The 16,095-nt window shown below is 49.1% G+C and overlaps 1 protein-coding gene and 1 long non-coding RNA gene across 3 annotated transcripts in view; one reads left to right on the top strand and one right to left on the bottom strand.

The window, feature by feature from the left end:
• LINC02210-CRHR1 (LINC02210-CRHR1 readthrough) overlaps nt 1-16,095 on the bottom strand; it is a 215,483-nt gene that overhangs the window by 163,576 nt on the left and 35,812 nt on the right. The window lies entirely within an intron of this gene.
• Nucleotides 1,338-14,576, top strand: LOC105371802 (uncharacterized). Its single transcript, XR_002958155.2, has 3 exons — nt 1,338-1,423; nt 3,090-3,185; nt 14,430-14,576. It is a non-coding gene; the product is annotated as an uncharacterized LOC105371802 (long non-coding RNA).

Genomic DNA, 16,095 nt, shown 5'->3' with positions numbered 1-16,095 from the left:
CACCTATCCCCCTCCTCTTGCCTCCCACTTCCTCCTCCCACCATTGCCATTCCAGGTTGCACCTGTGCAAGGACTGAGCCGAAAAGGCACAGTGAGGGGCAGCTGCTGGAGCTGGGGTTGGAAGAGGGCCAAGGGGTGAGATGCCAGGCACAAAAGCCTCTGCTCCTGTGGCCAGGAAAGCAAAATGATGAAGAAGAGGGTGGGAAAGCTGGGCGTGGTGGCGCGTGCTTGTGGTCCCAGCTACTCGAGAGGCTGAGGCAGGAGGATTGCTTGAACTCAGGAGTTCGAGACCAGCCTGGTCAACATAAGAAAACCCAGTCTCAAAAAAAAAAGGGCAGGGGCGGGAACACTTTCTGGACACAACCCGGTTGTGGGGATGCTCCCACAATCTTGCAGCCCCTCTACCAACAGTTATAATACAATGCCCTTAGGGAGCTGCCTGGCCCAGGCCAGGGTCAGCAGAGCCAAGATCAGTTTTCTTCAAACCACCCTATTCATTCCCTCCCCTACCCTCCAAGGGCTGCCTATGGTATTCTCACCTTCACGAGTTCAGCAGGGCAAGGGGGCTACTCCACCCTGGCTCTTAGGCCCTGAGCAGTGATGGCAGAAAACCCATCCCAGTGCCACTCTTCCCATTCTCGCACAGAGAAATGTTAAAGAAACACATTCCTGCCAGATACTGAACTTTTCTCCTTTCCACTTTGCCACTGCCCCACAGCAGGGGAGATAAACTTCTCTGCCATTGCCAAGAGAAGCAGACACTCAGAACGGTGAAGCAGGGTCCCCATGGCCGAGTCTAGTTGGAGGTGAGGCCAGCTGGACTTCCTGGGTAGAGTGGGGACTTGGGGAACTTTCCTGTCTGACAAGAGGATTGTAAAATGCACCAATCGGCTGGGCGTGGTGGCTTACGCCTGTAATCCCAGCACTTTGGGAGGCCAAGGCGGGCGGATCACGAGGTCAGGAGATCGAGACCATCCTGGCTAACACGGTGAAACCCCATCTCTACTAAAAATACAAAAAATTAGCCGGGTGTGGTGGCGGGCGCCTGTAGTCCCAGCTACTTGGGAAGCTGAGGCAGGAGAATGGCCTGAACCCGGTGGGCGGAGCTTGCAGTGAGCCGAGATTGCGCCACTGCACTCCAGCTTGGGCGACAGAGCAAGACTCCATCTCAAAAAAGAAAAACGCACCAATCAGCGCTCTGTAAAATGAGCCAATCAACGCTCTGTAAAATGCACCAATCAGCAGGATTCTAAAAGTAGCCAATTGCGGGGAGGATTGAAAAAAGGGCACTCTGATAGGACAGAAACAGAACATGGGAGGGGACAATCAGGGAATAAAGCTAGCCACCCCCTAAGCCCACCCAACCTCAGCCAGCAGGCAACCTCCTGGGTCCCTGTTCCATGCTGTGGAAGCTTTGTTGAAGGTTTGTTCTTTCGCTTTTCACAATAAATCTTGCTGCTGCTGGCTCTTTGGGTCCGTGCCATCTTTAAGAGCTGTAACACTCATGCGAAGGTCCGTGGCTCCATTCCTGAAGTTGGTGAGACCACGAACCCACCGGAAGGAACCAACTCCGTACACACTAGGGCTGCCTTCAGCCTGGTCGAAAAAGCCAAGGTGGGCTGTGTCTGTGTGACTTGAAGCCAACCTGGCAGGGATGGACCTTAAAAGAATAGGATCCAGGAAGGAGGGGATGCTGCTTACCTAGTTCTGCCCTCCTGGGCGTCAGAATCTTGGCTCTCGGAAGTCAGGTTCGGCCCCCTGGCTCAGGTAGCTGTAATACCTACACATGTTCTTGAACTTGGACTTTATGAAAAGTACAAATGATTGATGTTTTAATGACTTAGCCCTCACAGACTCAAAATGAGAGCTCAATGTAATTAAACTATATGGAAAATATTTTGATTATCCTTATCAGGCAATACTTAATAGTATCCACGATGTGCCAGACTTTCTAAGGACTTATTGAATCATTAGACCTTTTGAGGGTAGATAGAATTATCTCCGTTTTACAGATGGAGAAACTAAGGTCCAGCAAGGCTAGATAACTTGCCTGAGGGAACAGAGCTAGTAAATGGCAGAGCTCGTTACCAATGCCTTAAACTTTCTCGCAACTCAGGCATAATTAACAAGCACACAGCTAGTAAAAAACCTATTATCAGGAATGGCTAAGAGGATGCCCGGCTCTTTCCCTGATTGAATTGGAGTTTGTTCCTTATTTGGGGGAGCTTGGACCTCCTCAGGGGGCCCCAAGGTCTTTGTGCTGCACAGGAGGTTTGGGGTTTGGCACTGTCTCTAAGCCCTTTGTTGCTCATTCTCTGTCTGCAGTTGCTTCAAGTTCACCTGAGCACTGGTTCTTTAGCAACAGCATTCCCAAGGAGGTTTTTGCCCTCTGAGATGTAGTATGCAGGATGCCAGGTTCTGATGGATGCCAGGGCATGGCCTCCTTCTTGATGTACAGGCTCAGCGCCCTGACCTGGGCACTCTGTAATTATGCTACCCTCGTGATGCCCTGTGCCTGTCCTCCCTGTTCTCACGAGGTGAGCATGGGAGGGGACTGACCCACTTTTCTGGACAGCAAGAGTAGCTTCCTGATTGAAACAGATTCTCTACTGGACAAAAAAATGTGAATGTCTTGACCCCTTCTGGGGAACATCATTGATTATCCGCGGAGTTTCTGCAGCCCAGGAGTGGTTGTGTTTAACCTCGTTTTTTTAGCCAAGACCCCATGGGTTTCATACCTGATGAGGAGTGCCATCCAGAGGATGGGGGGTGTGGGCAAATCAGAAGACCTCTGGAGCCTTCCAGACTGCATGAGCATCAGCTGGCTGGGAGCCATCCAAAGCGGGGAATCAGGAACTCGAACTGAGCAAATGCGTTGTATCTATGGAGGGGCAGTTTGGAGCAACCACCTCCAGGAGCCTTCTCTGAGTCTAGCCCCATGAAGGAGAGGGAAGGAAGTGGAGGGAGGGAAACCAAAACTCACAGCAGCAGCAGCAGCAGCAGTGGCTATTTCCCACCCAAGGGCCTGGGATACATTCAATGATGCCCAGATGTTACAGGGCACCTGCCGTGTCTATGTCCTTTTCCAGACAGAAGAACACCACCCAGCTGGGAAATAGGACATATATACAACATAAGAGCTGAGGACTCAGGACAGCATTGCCTGGAGGGGCTGCAGGGAAGAGGTAAGCTGAAAAAAAAAAAAATGACACACCTTGACTGGCCAAGAGGAAGGTAAACATGTTCCAGACAGAGAGAACAACATTTGTTCATTCATTTGTTCATTAATTCTATATGCATTTCTTGCTCTTCTACTCTGGTTGGGCACTGTTTCAGGCCCCACGCTCAAAGATGAATAGAAAGTGACCTCCCTCCTAAGCAGGGCTGTGTGTAGGGTGACCTAGGAAGGGGACCTAGGATGCAAAGTAAGGAGGCAGTCATTATCAGGTGCCGGCGTGCACTGGTGCGGCTGAGAGTGAGTGTCTCCGTAAATTTTGCACCTTGCTTGTCCTGCTCCTGAGGGGGCACAGTCTATGATGAGCAAAGGCCTGGAGGTGAAAAGCCATGACCTCTCAGTGTGACATTCAAGGCCTTCAGGGTTTGGCTCCACCCAGCATTTGAGGACATCTCCTGCCCTTTTACCCTCAAGCCCTCGCCAGGTCAAACCATGTATATTCTTCCGAATATGATGCCCACCTCCATCTCCTACCTGGAACTCCCTGCACTCCATCCCCTCACCGGCCTGGCAAACCCCTGCCCACCCGTCAAGACTCAGGCAAAGCATCACCTGCTCCCTGGTGCACCCTGAGCCACCAGAACTATAACTGGCAACCTTGATGCCCAGGACAAGGATGATAAAGGTGTCCTCACATCAGCTTGGGAGTGCCTGGTTGTGGCTGGGGAGACAGTGAGGAGCAGGATAGTATTATGTGCACTGCCTGGGAGCTTCCTATTGTAAATAACCATTCCTGCCAAGTACTTGCTGCATGGGAGAGCATGTCCTATCCTGTAAGTGTAACATTCCCCATCACACATCTAATCATTTCCCCCAAATGTCATAGCCTGTGTATTTGGCTGGCCTGGGGCAAAACTCCAATTGTCTGACCTCCAGCTCTGCCAATCACTGTGCTTCCAAGAGATGAGGGTTTCCCTCTTTGAGCTCCCAAACTCCACTGTGCATTGTACCATAAGCACAGGCATCTCACGTTAGTGTCTTGCCTTCCCTCCCACCCACGCACTCAGCTACCTGAGGGTGAGTGGGTGGAGAGGGGGCTCCCTGTTCATCCCTGGAGCTCCAGGACATGGTATGGGTGAAAGTATCAGCTGAGCTTGTGGATGTGCTGGAGCTCAGAGGTCACCATTGAGGGGACCATCAGGCTCGGACAGTGCAAGAAACAAGAGGTGACCGAGGCACAGGCAGGTGCCACCCATGGCAGAGACAGCTGGAGGCCACACGTGAGTCAGCCAGAGAGGGAGGCAGAGAAGGTGGTAGAGGAGGAGGACAGAGGTAGAGAAGGAGGATGGGCCCCAGATTCAGAGCTCCTCTGATTCAGAGCAAAGCCCAGGACCTCTGAGAGGCAGAAACAGTGATGAGGCCTTGTCACACCCATGCAAGTGGCTCCATAGACGTGCCCTGTCTGCTCCAATGAGAATTTCCTCACAGCATGCCAACAGATGCCTCATCAAGGAGGGAAATTGCAGAGAAATTACAACCCCTTGTTGTGAGTTCTCCCACGGAACTAAAAACAGCACATCAATCCCACGCTCTCTGTCTCCAGATGGATTCTGCAGCCTCCCCACCCTGGTGGGACTAAGGAGGAAGGGACACTGGCCCAGGGAGAGGGTCCTTGGAGGAGAAGGACAATCCCTGAAGCTAAGATAATGGGGTGCCTCCTCAGGCTGGGTTTGCAAGCCTGGAGAAAAAACACCTAGTGTGCTCTCTGTGCCATTCCCCATGACACCCCAATCTCCAGGCAAGTCTTGGGGAGCCAGGAGACAGGGGGTCTTCTGTCCCCTTTATCTCAATGGGGTCAGTCAGGCATGGTAGGCTAGGGCACATCAGCACCAGCTGAAAAATCAACCTTTTCCCCCACGTGACCCACCTGAAAAAGAGCTCTGAACCCTGAGAAAGGAATCAGAGGTTAAGAGCATGGCTTGAGAAGCTGGAGTGAGGCAAGTCATAGTAAAGCACCTGTGAACATGAAGCTGCTATGTTAGTACAGCTGGGTGGGGTGGCATCAGGATTCTGAATGCAGTTACAGTCACCTGGAGCCTAATTGGGTGGACCCCAAATCAACTATCCAGTCCCCTTCCAGGCCCACTGGTCTGTTCCCTCCTCCCCCGCTCCCTGGTCTATGGGAAGGCTGCCCAGGTGTCAGGTAGGGTGGCTGCGGTGGGCTCAGACACCTTGGGCCCGGCCTTAGTAGTGAGGACGGGGTGGATTGCAAGTTCTGGAGGAGGGGCTGCCACAGGCAGAGCACATGGAAGGATGTGACAGTGATGGTCAGGGAAGACTTCCTGTCCCAGCCCAGGACCAAGGCACTCTCTTCCCAGAGCAAATGGCCCTGGGTCAGAGCAGCACGGGATCCCTTAGGGGTATGTGGGGAGCTCCAGCCAAGTACAGCTTCTTGCTTCCCATCCATGGCATCAAACAGAAGCTCCTTGGCCATCCTGCCACGGCTTTTCCCTGCTGTGCCTCTCTTATTTTAATGTTTATTAGAAGCTGCTTCCTTTTCAGCCTGACTGGCTACGCCTATTGTGTGCCACACAAGGTACAAGGCCCCTTGGAGGCTACCAACACACAGGGCACACCTGCCCTCACCAGGGGCAGTTTCCCCAATCCAGCAGGGTGCAGTAAAGACCCTGACCACAGCGGAACAGAAGCTCAGGAGCTGGGGGAGAGGAGGAGCAGGTTCCAGGTGGCAGTCTGGACACAGGCAGGTTTGGTGACATTTGAATGGGTCCCCAGAGCTGGGTCTCATCACAGCTTGCTCACCCCCACCTCATGGCCTTTCTTTGGCCATTGCCCATGCCTGGACTGCCCTCTACCTTCCAGCTGGATTCCTGCTTCTGACTTTGCTAAGTGCACCCACAGCAATGGATCTAATACCAAGATAAAATAAAAATACTTGTAAATGCTGCTGTTTATTAGCACTGGTTGTGTGCCAGGAACAATGCTAAACATTTTACATGGATAATCCCTTCTAATCCTTACAACACCCTCACAAGGCAGACATTATGATCAGCCCTATTCTATAAATGGAGAAACAAAGTCTTGGATTAGGTAACCTGCCCATGTCACACAAAGCTAGTAAATTGAGTTGTTTCTCTCTAAAACCTACCTTTACAAAAAACTGCCCTCCATGTTCCCTCCCAAACTCTGTTCCCCAGTGGGCCCTCAGGGTGCCCCATTTTCATTTTAGTTCCTAGATCAGCCGATCTAAAGTTTACATGGGAAAATCCACCTGTCAGGAGGAGAGAAAGATGACAGCCCCGAGAGGCAGCTCAGGTCAGAGATCTGACCCAAATGGCACTTTGCCGCTTTGGAGGAGTCCCTTAAATCAGACTGACTGTAAGAACGTAGACCTGCTGGCTGTCTCCGGGCTTCGGTTTCCTGATGTATAAAATGATGCAGTTGGATTGGGGCAGTGGCTCTTAACCCCAGACTGCATGTCAGAACCACCTGGGGAACTTGAATAAATGCCCATGCTCAGGTCTGGCCCCCAGAAAGTTGACGAAATTGACTTTCTACATGGGGCCCAGATATGAGTAGTGTTTGAAAGTTTCTCAGGTGACTTTACTATGCGGGCAGGACTAGAAATCACTGGTCTCTGAGGCCCTCCCAGTTCTGTCTTTCTCCAGGAGTCTACACTCACTGGGCCTGTTTTTATAAATAAAGTGTTATTAGAACACAGCCGTGCCCATTCATTTACATGCTGTCTGTGGCTGCTTTTCAGTGGGGGTGGGAATGTTCCACAGGAAGGGGGAACCTCATGTCCACATGGACCAGGGACCTATGCACTTGCTCAGATGCTGCAGGCAGTTGCCAGTTTCCTGTGAAAGCAACTTTGCTTCCTACAGACTCAAGTTCAAAGAGACTGGAGAGCAGCCTGTCATGGCCCCCTCGCAGGGGTTAATACAGGGGTTAATAACCCCTTGCAGGGGTTAATAACCCAACTGTTTCCTGAAGATAGTTGTGAAGCTGCCCCTCCTGCTGCTCTTCTCTAGCTCATAACCCCGGTTCATTTCATCCTTCCCTGTAGGTCCCATGCTCCAGCCCCTTCGTCGCTGTTACACGCTAACGTTTTCTCCCTTTCCCACATGCCTCTGCCTCTCCAAATACACAGCAGGACAGAAGCCCTTAATGCCACCTTCTGGCCAAGGAGGCAGCCCTGGGATGATGCTCCCATCTCTCATCTGGTGCCTCTACTTCCTTGTATGCACTGAGATCCCAGCTCCTGTCTGGGCCTGTGGGATAGGGGGGCTTGTGCTCCAGCAAAGTCAGCCACAGAGTGAATTGCTGTCAGCAGAATCTTTCCCCACAGCGTCCGTTATGCAACCAGTGATTATTTTCAAGGATGGCAGAGAAAACCTTAACAAGCAGGGTTGTGAATGGTCCTGCATGGTGGGGCCCCAGCAGCCTTATAGGAAATGGATGGTATCACCACCACCTAGTAATTCTTCCCTCCTCTCCCTACTCTGCAATCATCCTCCTTTTTTCTTTTTAGCTGCTTTGTTGAGATGTAATTCACATACCATAAAATTCACCCATTTAATTCAATGGCTTTTAGTAGATTCACAGGCCTGTGCATCCGCCCCTTTGTTACCCAAGTTAACAGTGTCTCCCGTTTGTGGGCTAAAGAAATGTTTATTGTGGTATGCCACTCAGGTTTTGTGGCTATTTGTTATACAGCATTATTGTGGCAATAAATAACAATGATCTCATTTGTTTTTTAGCACAATCTTGTGAGATTGGTAGAGTAGAAAAAAAATCTAAAGTTAAGAGATTAAAATAGAGGAGAGGGAAGAAATTAGCATGTATTGAACACCTACACTAAACCAAGTTCTAGGCTTGGAATTTTTGCATATTTGTTATCTTATTTAATGCTCACAACAACCCTGTGAGATTGCTGTACTACAGGGAGGAATGCTTTAGGTGCAGGTAATGGAATACCCAATTGCCAATGTCATATGGAATAAAGATTCTTCACTCTCAGATAAGAAGTCTGGAGACACACACAATCCCAGAGTCCATGCAGCAACTGACACTGCCCCCAGAGGGTTGACAAGGGTTGCATGCCAGGTTCTGGACAGAAATATAGTTAGAATTCAGCACTAATCAGGCTGCACTTTGGCCCATTTCCTTGTTGCTAAAGGTCGGGTAGTGCTAGATCCTGACTGTTTGCATCCCCATTGCTCCTACAGACAGGGTCTCTGACATCAGAATCCTAAAGCTTTTTTTTTTTTTTTTTTTTTTTTTTGAGACAGAGTTTCACTCTTGTCGCCATGCTGGAGTGCAGTGGCACAATCTCGGTTCACTGCAACCTCCACCTCCCGAGTTCAAGCAATTCTTCTGACTCAGTGTCCCAAGTAGCTGTGATTACAGGCGCCCCCCACCACACCTGGCTAATTTTTGTATTTTTAGTAGAGACGGGGTTTCACCATGTTGGCCAGGCTGGTCTCACACTCCTGACATCAAATGAGCCACCCCCCTCAGCTTCCCAAAGTGCTGTGATTACAGGTGTGAGCCACCGCGCCTGGCCGAATCCTAAAATTTTATGTAGCGTATCCATACAATGAAATAATATTCAGCCATAAAAATGAATAAAGTAGTGATACACACTATAACATGGATAAACCTTGAAAACATTATGCTAAGTAAAAGAAGCCAGTCATAAATACTATATATTAGATTCCTTATGTGAAATGCCCAAAATAGGTATATCCATAGAGAGAAAAAGTGGATTAATAGTTGCTTAAAGCTTGGGGATGTAGGGGGTTGGGGAGTGATAGCAAAAGCATAGAGAGTTTCTTTTTGAGGTGAAGAAAATATTCTAAAATTGGTTGTAGTGAAGTTTGCACAACTCTGTGAAGATACTAGGAATACTTTAAGTGGGTGAATTGTATGGTATGTGTAGTATATGTCTCAATAAAGCTGTTAACAGCCCCTCCAAAAAAAAATCATAAGGCTTTTGTTTAAGGATCACTTCGGATGTTTTTCACAGAGGAATGGGATCAGTAAGAGAATTCAGCTTCTTCATCTCCCTGTCCCATGACTTCACCCTGTACTCTTCAGCCAATCAATGATCTCCACAGTTTGGCCCACTCCAAAATCCTTTAAAAACCCTAGCCCCAAACTCCTCAGGGAGATAAATTTGAAGTTCCTTCCCTTCTCTTCATCCAGCAACCCTATGATTAAACTTCTTTCTCTGCTGCAACCTAGTGTCTCAGCATATTGACTTGCCTCGCACATTGAGCAATGAACCTATTACAGTTCCACAGCTCAGCAAAATGCTCAAGGACCCAGCTTCTTTCTATTTTTCTGCATCACCATCCTTGCTGTGTTTTCTTTTCTTTCTTAGGCTTATCACCTCATGGTTGCAGAATGGCTGCCACAGCTCCAAGCATCACATCCTCACCCAACCACATTATGGTAGGAAGATGACAGTAGGACTCTTTGACATAATCAGAAAGAAAAATCTCATTGGTTAAAATTAGGTCACATGCCCTCTCCTAAACCAATCAATAGCTAAAAGAAAATGACATGATTATGCTTAGATCCGACCAATTGCAGTTTATCTTGCTGAAGCTGCAGGAGAGGCCCTTCTTCCCTAATGTTTCATCTAAACAAAATCAAAGGAGAAAGGGAGATTGGCTTGTGGATGAAAAACAAACAGTGACATCCTTGGGTATTATTCCTACTTTACAGCTAAGGAAACAGATTTAGGAGTTTTCAAATAAGTTGCTCAAGGTCATCTAGCTGCCAATCGGTAGAGCTAGGATTCAAGCCCAAATTCGTCTGACTGCAAAGCCCTTTCTACTCCATTGTCAGGGTCTTTGGGCAGATTTACAGAGCTAAGTGCCAGAGCACAGCTAGAACTATGGGAACTCCAGTGGGAGCTTCACCCTCACCCCAGGCGCCTGGGCACTCCCTTTACACATACAATGCCATTGCACAGTTCCCATCTTCCTTCCTCCCTTTGAATATTTCCAGTGCCTCTGGAGTAGCCACGGTGCCACAATTGATGGTGCATCACTGGAGGAGCTCCCACCACGTAATGTATTCCAGCCTGAGAAGCCTCCAGTCAGGGCTTCAGGGTCTGCAAAATGATTTAGAGTCCTGCCTCTCCCTCACCATAAATCCAGAAGCCTGTACATCACATTTCCTGCAATAAGGATACGTGTACCTGAGCCTGATAAATAGATAGTCCCCCATCTACCCACCCTAGCCTTCTGCCTGCTCTTCTCCAGAAGAAACAGCCTCAGCTATTTCAACTCAGCATATTTTACCCTCTTCCTACCACCCTTCTGGCTCCCAGAGAAGCATCCCAGGTACGCTTGCTTCTGTCCTGATGATCAGGTATTACAGGCTCATTCATCGTGCTGATGCGTGTCAACTTCAGGCCCATGAGGCCAATTTGATAGCCAGAAAACATCCTTGTGGGTGGCTCCCACTTGACCTCCCTTCTCACCCTCCACTGGGCCTGGGAGTTCACTGGTGTTTCACACAGGACTGTCACGGGAACTGTGAAACGGGTTCCTACTCCTTCGCGAGTGGCGTCTTCCAAGTGGAAAACACACACACAAACACACCCGGGAAGGCTCGTAGTGACCACTGCAACCTCCTTCCCCTACTCAGCCCCACTCCACCTTGCTTGAGGTGCCATGCCCTCCTAGACTGGCCAGAGGGCTGCAGCAGTCACCACTCAGCCAGCCGGCCACTGCCCTATCCCTGTCATGGAAGAAACACGTGTTCCTGAGCATTGAGTTCCAGAAGCTCAAGGAAAATTCAAGACTGGTGTCACATGCAGGCTGGGACTTGGAAAAGATGTAATGGTCAAAGAACTATAGAATATAGAAGATGAAACCAGAGGGGAAAATGTTCAAGATCATCTCGGCTGTTGATTTTCAAACTACTTTTTCCCAGCAGAACTTTGTCTTCCAAATGAGATGTTTACATAGAACTTTCAGATATCAAATACAAACGAGGCCACTCTAATAAAGCAGAGGTGGCGAACTCGGGGTATACCTTGGCCTTCAGCGAATCCTCGAGCTCTGTGGAACATGGTTACAAAATCATTGCTCTCGTCGTTTCTTTAATTTGAACAATGGGGAAACTGAGGCCCACAGAAGGGAAGTGATTTGTATGCAAAATGGGGAAATCTGAGATGTTGGAAACTGTTTGCCAAAACCAGAGGCCAACAGTAGGCAAAGGTCTCCAAAGCTAGAGTTTGGGGGAAAGAGAAAGGGGCGGGTCAGAGGGAGCCAGAGTTGGGAGCTCTGAAGCAGAGGACCCTGTGACTGGCTACCTTGGACAGAGCTTCAGTGGACGGCTCTGGGGCCTGGATGAAAGGCTCTCTGCTCCAGAGGAGAGGCCAGGCTTTCATTGTTTTTTTCCCACACCAGGCCTTGGGGGAGGTATTTCAGGGCAATCTTTCACCAGACTCAACGCCTGTCAGCCATTTAACACACTGAATAAAATGCCAATGCCTCACCTAGAACAGCTCCAGAGTGAAAAGTCGATTGAAGCTGATCCAAAGCTAACTTGGAACTTTAATTCTTGTGCCGCTGTTGGCCCCAGCAAAGGCCCTGACTTGTTTGCAGAGACAGAACAGGGGACACTCATATTCCAGACGGAGCAGGACAGAGAGTCTGGGAATTGAGGAAGGAAAGGAATCCCTTCCCTGTCTTCCTCCCCGGAGCCTAACAAGATCTTGAGTTGCGGGGCTTCTGTTTTATGCAAATGTGGAAGGGAAAGAACTAAGCAGAAACCTCCTAGAGCAAAATATAAAATGTGATGCCTTCAAGCCTTGGTTCTCCAGTGATCCCCAGACCAGCAGCATCAGCACCTGCTGGAAAGTTGTTAGAAATGCCAGTTCCAGGGCCCCACCCTAGACCTGCTGATGTGGACCTTCATCTCAGCACCCCACTTCCTGGGCTACTGCAGCAGCAGTTGGGCTAAGGAGACTTGGGATGTGATGGGACCATTTGAGGTCGAGTTCTAAAGAGAACAGAAACCTCCTGAAGATGACCCAGAGGGGGCTGTTGCTAGAAAGAATAAGAAACCTGTTTCGGCTGGGTGCCGTGGCTCATGCCTGTAATCCCAGCACTTTGGGAGGCTGAGACAGGCAAATTACCTGAGGTCGGGAGTTCAAGACCAACCTGACCAACATGGAGAAACCCCGTCTCTAATAAAAATACAAAATTAGCCGGGCATGGTGGCGCATGCCTGTAATCCCCCAGCTACTCGGGAGGCCGAGGCAGGAGAATCGCTTGAACCAGGGAGGCAGAGGTTGTGAGGAGTGGAGATCGTGCCATTGCACTCCAGCCTGGGCAACAAGAGCGAAACTCCTTCTCAACAACAACAAGAAAGAAAGAAAAGGAAAGAAACCTGTTTCAAAAATAACAAGAGTTGTTCAGGATGGAGAAATCAGAACCCATACATGTTGCTGGTGAGAATGTAAAATGGTGCTCTCACTGGGGAAAGCAGTTTGGTGGTTCCTTAAAAAGCTAAACATAGAATTATCATTTGATCCAGCCATTCCACTCCTAGGTATGTACCCAAAGGAATCGAAAGCAGGAACCCAAGACTGGGCGCGGTGGCTCATGCCTGTAATCCCAGCACTTTGGGAGACCGAGGCAGGTGGATCACCTGAGGTCAGGAGTTTGAGACCAGCCTGACTAACATGGTGAAACCCCATCTCTACTAAAAATACCAAAATTAGCCAGGCGTAAGCCAGGCATAGTGGCAAATGCCCATAATCCCAGCTACCTGGGAGGCCGAGGCAGGAGAATTGCTTGAAGCTGGGAGGCAGAGGTTGCTGTCAGCTGAGATCTTGCCACTGCACTCCAGCCTTGGTGACAACAGCAAGACTCTGTCTCAGAAAAAAAAAAAAAAAGAAAGAAAGCAGGAACTCAAACAAGATACTTGTACACAAATATTCACAGCAGCATTATTCATGATAGTCAAAAGATGGAAACTACCCAGTGTTATCAGTAAATGAATGGATAAACAAAGTGTATATAGACAATGGAATATTATTCAGCCATAAAAAGGAATGATGTTCTGACACATGCTACAACATGGATGAACCTTGACATTGTGCTAAGTGAAAGAAGCCAAATATAGAGGGACAAATATTTCACTTATATGAGGTACCTAGAATAGGCAAATTAGCAGGACAGAAACATTGATTAGAGGTTACTAGGGGTTGGGTGGTGTGGGGGATGTGGAGATGTTGCTTAATTGGTTCAGAGTTTCTGTTTGGGGCAATGAAAAAGTTTTAGAAATAGATAGTGGTGATGATTGTACAACATCCTGAATGTGATTGATGCCCCTAAATTATCCCCTTAAAAATGATTAAAATGGGCCATGTGCGGTGGCTTACGCCTGTAATCCCAGCACTTTGGGAGGCTGAGGCAGAAGGATTGCTTCAGGTCAGGGTTCGAGACCAGCCTAGCCAACATGACAAAACCCCGTCTCTACTAAAAATACAAAAATTAGCCGGGTATGGTGGCGCATGCCTGTATTCCCAGCTCCTCGGGAGGCTGAGGCAGGAGAATGACTTAAACCCAGGAGGCAGAGGTTGCAGTGAGCCAAAATTGTGCCACTGCACTCCAGCCCGGGCAGCAGAGTGAGACTCAGTCTCAAAAACAAAACAAAAAACAAAAACAAACAAAAAAATGATTAAAAAGGTAAATGGTAAATTTTATGTTATGTCTATTTTCCCACACAAATTCTGCTGGTGGAAGATTAAGGCAGGGTCGACTTACAGGTGGCTGTGAAGTGAGAACAGGCGTCAGGGAGGAGACCCCTGTGAAGCCAGGCAAGAGCTGAGGCTCAACTGGGAAGGGCAAAGGACCGTGATGGGGCCAGGCAGGCGTGAGGGACAGAGAAGGGGAGAAGGTACAAGTTCAGGGGTATCAGTAAGTCTATCTCAGGGTTGAAGACATTGGAATACAGTCAAGGGATTAGACAGAGGAAGACAGCTCAGGCTACTATGATTATGCTACTGCACTCCAGCCTGGGATGGCTCTGGGTTTGAAGGATTTGGGGAAACCAGACTGCAATCCTAACTAAGCTAGTCTTGAAGATTTAGCTTCCCAGGCTGGCCACGGTACTGGCCTGGGCAGGGCCATAGAACTGCTCAGTGGCTATTTCTGGCCACCTGCACACATCTAAAGTTACTGTGCCTCTCTGAACCTCCCAGGTGTCTCCTGCACCTCCTGAGGCCTGAGCTACAGCCCTGGAGAGGCCTGAACCCCCACCTCAGCTGCTTGACCTGAGGGAAAACGAGGTGGCCTGGGTCATCTAGGGACTTGACAGCCAGAAGAAGAGCGGAGTGCATGTGAGTACCAGGGAGGTGTGGACACACCCAGCTGAGCACTGGCTTGACTGTTACTCTGAACCTCACCCAAGATCACATGGATAGTCAATGAAGGATAATCAGGCCTCCTGGCTGGATTCACCAAGCACCTACACAGGTGCTCAGAGGCCCTTTCTCTGTACTCTAGAAAAGCAAGTCCCTTCCTTTTGTGGGCTTAATTTCCTCCTGTATAAAATGAGGAGCTGAGGCCAGGTGTGGTGGCTCATGCCTGTAATCCCAGCACTTTGGGAGGCCATGGCGGGAGGATTGCTTGAGCCCAGGAATTTGAGACCAGCCTGGGAAACATAGTGAGACCCTGTCTCTATAAAAATAAAAAAAAATAGCTGGGTGTGGTGGCATGCAACTGTAGTCCCAGCTACTTGGAAGGCTAAGGTGGGAGGATCACTTGGGCCCAGGAGGTCAAGGCTTCAGTGAGCTGTGATCACCCCATCACTGCACTCCAGCCTGGACAGGAGAGTGAGACCTGTCTCAAAAAAAATAAAAATAAAAAGGAACTGGACTAGGGATCTTCCAAGTCCCTTCTGGCTCTGAACTTCTAGGACTTTTAGGAGAGGGTCATGACTTATGGGGAGGTAAGGGTGGGGAGGCCTGAGTAAGAATGGGAGGGGGAGGAATAAACTGAAACTAAAGGTGACAGGTGGCTCCTTGGCAAAGGGATTACCCAAGTCCCTTCCATTAGCGTGACCTAATGATTCCGTGAGTTAATCCATAAATGCTGTGCGCAGCCTGGCACATAGTAAGCTCTCAATCATTTTTTAGCAGCGATTATTATTATGATTATCAGCAGCCTAGATTTATAAACACTCTGCTTACTTAATCGCCGGTACCCACAAATCTTCAAATGACCACATCATTGAATCAAGAATTACTGAGTCATTGAACCTGAACGCTGCTGGACCATCAAAAGTGAGTCTCTCCAAGTCACAGCATGGACCCATCGCTGAGTCGGCACAAAGTGCCCTGCCGAGCCATGCCTCTATCCATGTTGCCCTTGCTGCTTTTGGTGTCCTTCTAGATCTTTCCACAAGGCAAATTCCGCTTGAAGGTCCAATCCATGGATGCACTGTGTGGACATGACTTCATGTGACTCTCCCAACTCCATAAATAGTTACTGCCATATGGTACTAATAAGGAAACTGAGGTCCTCAGAAGTCACACAGCCTGGTGTTTCATGCTAAGGCCCATGGGTGGCTGGTGTTTCACTCTAAGGTCCATGGGTGGCTTCCAGCTTCCCGAATGAGCTGAGCTAACTTTTCCCTCCGTGCTGCCCGGTTATTTTACCTTCATGTGTAGCACACTCCACAGCACCCTGTAATTTCTCTGGGTGCCTGTTTCCCCAGCCCCCTAGACTAGGAGCGCCATACAGGCTGACAAGGGTCATGTCTGACCTTCCTCATGTTCCCCACAAGTGCCAGGTTCATCAGGGGTGCCAAACAGGTGCTTTGAATGGGATCATCCGTAGAAGGGTCTTGACTACTGTCCAGGTAGC

The sequence above is a fragment of the Homo sapiens genome, chromosome 17, assembly GCF_000001405.40.
Source record: "Homo sapiens chromosome 17, GRCh38.p14 Primary Assembly".
Classification (NCBI taxonomy): Eukaryota; Metazoa; Chordata; class Mammalia; order Primates; family Hominidae; genus Homo; species Homo sapiens.
This window is presented reverse-complemented; position numbering and strand designations above follow the sequence as displayed.